This window comes from Homo sapiens, chromosome 7 (assembly GCF_000001405.40).
Source record: "Homo sapiens chromosome 7, GRCh38.p14 Primary Assembly".
NCBI classification, from domain to species: Eukaryota; Metazoa; Chordata; class Mammalia; order Primates; family Hominidae; genus Homo; species Homo sapiens.
The window spans coordinates 50,882,721-50,889,435 of NC_000007.14; the positions used below are offsets into that span (position 1 = coordinate 50,882,721).

General features: G+C 36.8%; 1 annotated feature.

Annotated features, from left to right (window-relative positions):
* Positions 4,476–4,975: an enhancer, noted in NCBI's record as "H3K27ac hESC enhancer chr7:50954893-50955392 (GRCh37/hg19 assembly coordinates)". NCBI's record gives its function as "activates a minimal SCP1, AML or CMV promoter by ChIP-STARR-seq in primed H9 embryonic stem cells {active_cell/tissue: H9 hESC(primed)}" and the evidence as "EXISTENCE:reporter gene assay evidence [ECO:0000049][PMID:30033119]".

Below are 6,715 nucleotides of genomic sequence, written 5' to 3' on the forward strand. Positions count from 1 at the left end.
TGCCCTTCCTATTGCCTTCTCTGTGTCCATGTGTTCTCATTGTTCAGTTCCCACTTACAAGTGTAAGGTAAAGTCTGAAAATTGCTTTACAATCCTTATGAAAGTCCACACGTTTACAAAACGTTATCATAACATTGAGCTGATCTTAAAACTACATTAAAATACGCAGAGGGAGAGAAAATTAAAGAGGTAGAGAAAGAAAGAGGGGATCAGAAGGGAGGGTGAGGGAGAGAGAACATGAGCGATCATGATATGGACAGAGACAGAAAGAGAGAGATTGAGATCCTGAGAAACAGAGCATTTCCTTACACATGGAAAAGCAAATGGAATGAATGGGCTATTTGACAGGTGATGCTTGCATAACAGTATCATGACTGCATAGATTCCTGGTTTGGTTTTTGAGGATGAATATTCATTATCCCATGAATTCTATCCATCTGCACTGGCTTTTAAAGTACATCAAATGGGTCTGTAATGGCCCAGATATGAAAGCAAAAGTACAATAGAGACAATTGAGCACACTTAGAGTGTTATTCCCCCTCTAGGGATTTATGCACGTGAATTCCAACTTTCAAAAAGAATATTCTGTCTATTGATCCAAAGTTGCAAACAGAGAACTCTGGAACTGCAACCTGCAGGAAAGAATGAATAGAGTTGACAGAATCTGGGTGAATCCTCTGCCAAATTATAAAAATATTTGCATAAAATCATCTGAATTCTACACTTTTACTCTAAAGAAATAATGGATCTAGTGTAATGTTAGGCAAGAATAGATTATGAAAAGCCTTTAGGACCACCTGCTTATACTTCGGTACCCACAGTGAGAAAGATTTTATCATTTTGAAAGTCAAAGAAATGCTTGTTTCATTTTATTGAAATGTGACACTTGCCTAACTAGAAATGATGAATGATTTTATTGGTCTAGTTAAGAACTGACTTCTTAATGCCGAAAGAGGAACTTCTGAGGATGGTGGCTCTTATAAGAAACAAAATCACATGGATGGGTGAAGTAAAAGTAAGGATATTACAATGTCTCCTCCCATCTTCCTGAGAATTAGGAGAATCCCCAAGACAAGTGAATTAAGAGCGGTGGCATAGTTCAGTCTATGAATATGGGTCCCTAAGAAATTGGATTCATTTCTTATCTGGTCTGGAGGAGAATAGTCATTGTATTGATGATCTCAAGGGGTATGGAATTTTGCCTCAGAGTAATATGGAGAAATGGATTATCTGACCCCAACTCTCTACTAGAGTAGCTAAGCATCCAGGGACCAGGGACAATAGCCTGCCATCTTTTATAACTTTACAGATGGAACATCTGGAAAAGCCAAGGTCCAGGTGGTCCACACTACCTCCAAAAACAATAGAAATCAATAAGAAAGGCAAATAAAATTGTCTTTCACACCTTGAAAGACAAAAATGTCACACCTTGCATACTTTCTCAACATAATAGGAAAACAGAATGCACTATAACTTCATACCTCCTAAATACTAAACATAAGCATCATTTTCTAGTGGGGCTATTTTCTTAAGTTTGTACCCCCAGACTTGCAGAGAACAAGGTAAGATCTTTAAAAAGCCACATAGAATACAGAAGAGGAAAAACAAGACTGAATTAAAGCCATTTTAAAAATCCATTTTAAATATTTTTTAAAAAACAAGTTTTAAAAAGCTGAAAAGGAATGCTGATATTTTAGACCGCTAAAATTTAATAGATGGGACTCATATAACTGACTGATTAAAAAGCTGATAAACTAGACAGTAAAATTTTAAGTGCAAAGCTACAAATAATGTTATTAAATAAAAATAATATTTTTTAAAGCATAAGGAAAACATCACATCAAAAAGAGAAAATATCATACACAGTACAGTTATAACAAAATTAATATGACACAGTTGAGATCAAATATAGCAGTCATTCTAAATGTGAATGGGCTTAACTGACTTATTAAAAATATTTTAAACATGGCTCACAAAACAAGATACAGCTCTGGCATACAAAAAACACATCTTACCTCAAAATAATCAGTGGCACAAAAAGACTAAAGATAAAGAGATAGGCAAAATTCTGCCAGAAAAAATGCAGGGGTTGCAATCATGATGTCAGCAAAGTATAATTCAAGCCAAAAACATTATACCTGACTAAAAATGACACTTTTTAATGCTAAAAGCCACAATTCACAAAGAATATATAATAGTTATAAACATCTATGCACCAAGTAATACAATAACCACCTTTATAAAGCAGAAACTACAGGAGATGCAATGAGACATAGAAATGTGCTAAGAGTGGAGAACATAATAGGCGTTCTTAGTACAAGGCAGATTAAACAAAAAAATAAAAAAGGCCATAGGAGACCTACATGACACAATCAATAAAGTAGATCTTCTATTTATATATGAACAGTATATTCTTATAAAAGAGAAAACAGCTTTTCTTAAACATATATGCAGCACCGAGCAAAGTTGAAGACATATTAGGTTATAAAGAAAGATTCAGGATGTTTGTATTGTATAAATATTATAACACTCTCTGATCACAAGGTGATAAAATTAGAAATTAATCAGAAAATAAAGGGTCTTTTCCCTGACCTCTGGAAATTTGGAAAAAAAAAAAAAAAAAAAAAAAGCTCCTATGAAATAACTATTGGGCAAAAGGGAAAATATAAACAGAAATCAAATAACTTCTAAAAATTAATGATACTAAAAACACTCTATATTAGAATCTACAGTATACATTTAAGATCATTAGAGGAAAATCCGTTGCCTTAAATATACCAATAAACATAAAAGAATAACAACAAATTAAAATTTCAACTCCAAAATTAGAAAAAGAACAACAAAGTAAACTACATGAGAGCAAAACTAAGAAAAAAGTAAAAACAAAAGCATAAATTAAATGAAGTAGAGAATAGAAAACAGTACATCTAGTTAATCAAAATTTTGATTTTTTAAAAAATGAACAAAATAGATGAAGCATTAGCTAGTTTAAATAAGAACAAGGGGGGAGAAAGGAAAAATGTACAAAATATGAAATGATGGGGGAAATAATATTGAAACAGAAGTTTTTAAGAATACAAAAGATTATTTTGCAGCTCTCTATGAAAAGAATCTGAAAATAGAGATGAAGTTGATAAATTCCCAACTGCAAAACTGTTTATTTACAGAAGATCATGAGGAACAGGGTAGAAAAGATGATGTGTGTGGTGAGGTGGGGGGTGAACAGTGAAGAGTTATACTTTTTGAGTCTTCCTTTTTATGTAATTCAGATGTTTGGAGCTATATTAATATTTTGCATAAACAATAAATAAAATAAAGATGTGAAAAGAAAACCTGAAAAGTACACAAAATGAGACAAACAGACTTATCTATATGTAAGAACCCCATTGAAGGAGAAAAATATTAACTCAAGTAATTTTTGAATACAATATTTTGACTATATCTTCAGACTAAAGACAAAAATTATAAAGAAAGATTGAACTTTAGGGTAGGAAGTTTTGCATGGGTTAGCATTTCCAAAATTACTTTCTGTGCATTCTAGTGTATCCTAGGATTAAGCAATAAGTAAATAGATGAGGACAATGGGAACCAGGTTTCTCACTGTTGGAAAAGGCAATTATAAATATGGATAAGAAAATGTGGAATGAATCCTATGTTATTTAAGTGTAATTAGATGTTGGAATTGAAAGAATCAGTAAAAAACTCATGATACATATTATCAGCCTGTTTATCTTTATGTATTTACTTTTTAGCTCTGTCCACTACAGGCTAAAGCAATGACACCCCAGCAACAATGAGCACACCTAGTGCCAAGATCTTCATTTCTAAATATACTATTCATCAAAAAGAAACAGAGCTCCTTTGATAAATAAGCTCATTCCAAGACTGGAACTGGCAAAGTACAACACAAGTCCAGAATATCTTACTGTTCAGGAAAGTTAGAAATAGCTCAAAGATTCAGGGTGACATTTCAAAAAGATACATAGCCAGTTTTAAGGGACTTCATTGGCAAAGCCTGGAACAATTTGAACAACCAAATCAATAATGTTAGCAATGGATCATCATCTGTTGAAGAAGATGATTCTATAAGTCCATACTAATAGAAACTAATGAATAAAAAAGGAATAAATCAGAGAATGAAAATATATTTATTACTGTAAAATATCAATCAATAAATGATGATGACATTGGAAAATCACCACTTGGTTTTCTGCATTTCCAACTGAGGTACCTGGTTCATCTCATTGGGACTGGTTGGACAGTTGGTGCAGCCCACGAAGCGCAAGCTGAAGCAGGGTGGGGCATTGCCTCACCAGGGAAGCACGAGGGTTCAGGGGATTTCCCTTTCCTAGCCAAGGGAAGCCATGACAGACTACCTGGAAAAACGGGACACTCCCCACCCAAATACTGTGCTTTTACCAAGGTCTTAGCAACTGGCAGACAAGGTGAGTCTCTCCCATGCCTGGCTCGGCAGGTCCCACACCCATGGAACCCTTGCTCACTGCTAGTGCAGCAGTCTGAGATCGATCTATGAGGTGGCAGCCTGGCTGGGGGAGGGGTGTCCACCATTGCTGAGGCTTGAGTAGGTAAACAAAGCGGCCAGGAAGCTCGAACTGGACGGAGCCCACAGCAGCTCAACAAGGCCTACTGCCTCTAGACTCCACCTCTGTGGGCAGGGCATAACTGAACAAAAGGCAGCAAACAACTTCTGCAGACTTAAAAGTAAGTCCCTGTCTGACAGCTCTGAAGAGAGCAGTCATTCTCCCAGCACAGCGTTTGAGCTTTGAGAATGGACAGACTGCTTCCTCAAGTGGGTCCCTGACCCCTGTGTAGCCTAACTGGGAGACACCTCCCAGTAGGGTCTGACAGACACCTCATATAGGCGGCAGCCCATCTGGGACGAAGCTTCCAGAGGAAGAATCAGGCAGCAATATTTTGCGTTCTGCAATATTTGCTGTTCTGCAGCCTCTGCTGGTGATACCCAGGCAAACAGCGTCTGGAGTGGAACTCCAGCAAACTCCAACAGACCTGCAGCTAAGGGACCTGACTATTAGAAGGAAAACTAACAATCAGAAAGGAATAGCATCAACATCAACAAAAAGATCATCTACACCAAAACCCCATCTGTAGATCACCAAAATCAAAGACCAAAGGTAGATAAAACCACAAAGATGGGGAGAAACCAGAGCAGAAAAGCTGAAAATTCTAAAAATCAGAGCACCTCTTCTCCTCCAAAGGATTGCAGCTCCTCACCAGCAATGGAACAAAGCTGGATGGAGAATGACTTTGACAAGTTGATAGAAGTACGCTTCAGAAGGTCGGTAATAACAAACTTTTCCAAGCAAAGGAGGATGTTTGAACCCATCACAAAGAAGCTAAAAGCCTTGAAAAAGATTAGACGAATGGCTAACTAGAATAAACAGTGCAGAGAAGACCTTAAATGACCTGATGGAGCTGAAAACCATGGCACAAGAACTTCGTGACACATGCACAAGCTTCAATAGCCGATTTAATCAAGTGGAAGAAAGGATATCAGTGATTGAAGATCAAATTAATGAAATAAAGCAAGAAGACAAGGTTAGAGAAAAAAGAGTAAAAAGAAATGAAAAAAGCCTCCAAGAAATATGGGACTATGTGAAAAGACCAAATCTATGTTTGATTGGTGTACTTGAAAATGATGGACAGAATGGAACCAAGCTGGAAAACACTCTTCAGGATATTATCCAGGAGAACTTCCCAAACCTAGCAAGGCAGGCCAACATTCAAATTCGGGAAATACAGAGAATACCACAAAGATACTCCTTGAGAAGAGCAACCCCAAGACACTTAATTGTCAGATTCACCAAGGTTGAAATGAAGGAAAAACTGTTAAGGGCAGCCAGAGGGAAAGGTCGAGTTACCCACAAAGGGAAGCCCATCAGACTAACAGCAGATCTCTCAGCAGAAACCCTACAAGCCAGAAGAGAGTGGGGCCCAATATTCAACATTCTTAAAGAAAATAATTTTCAATCCAGAATTTCATATCCAGTCAAACTAAGCTTCATAAGTGAAGGAGAAATAAAATCCTTTACAGACAAGCAAATGCTGAGAGGTTTTGTCACCACCAGGCCTGCCTTATAAGATCTCCTGAAGGAAGCACTAAACATGGAAAGAAACAACTGGTACCAGCCACTGCAAAAACATGCCAAATTGTAAAGACCATTGATGCCATGAAGAAACTGCATCAATTAACGGGCAAAGTAATCAGCGAGCATCATAATGACAGCATCAAATTCACACATAACAATATTAACCTTAAAAGTAAATGGGCTAAATGCCCCAATTAAAAGACACAGACTGGCAAATTGGATAAAGAGTCAAGACCCATCAGTGTGCTGTATTCAGGAAACCCATCTCTTGTGCAAAGGTGCACATAGACTCAAAATAAAGGGATGGAGGAAGATCTACCAAGCAAATGGAAAGCAAAAAAAAGCAGGCATTGCAATCCTAGTCTCTGATAAAACAGACTTTAAACCAACAAAGATCAAAAGAGACAAAGAAGGCCATTACACAATGGTAAAGGGATCAATTCAACAAGAAGAGCTAATTATCCTAAATATATATGCACCCAATACAAGAGCACCCAGATTCATAAAGCAAGTCCTTATAGACCTACAAAGAGACTTAGACTCCCACACAATAATAATGGGAGACTTTAACACCCCACTGTCAATAT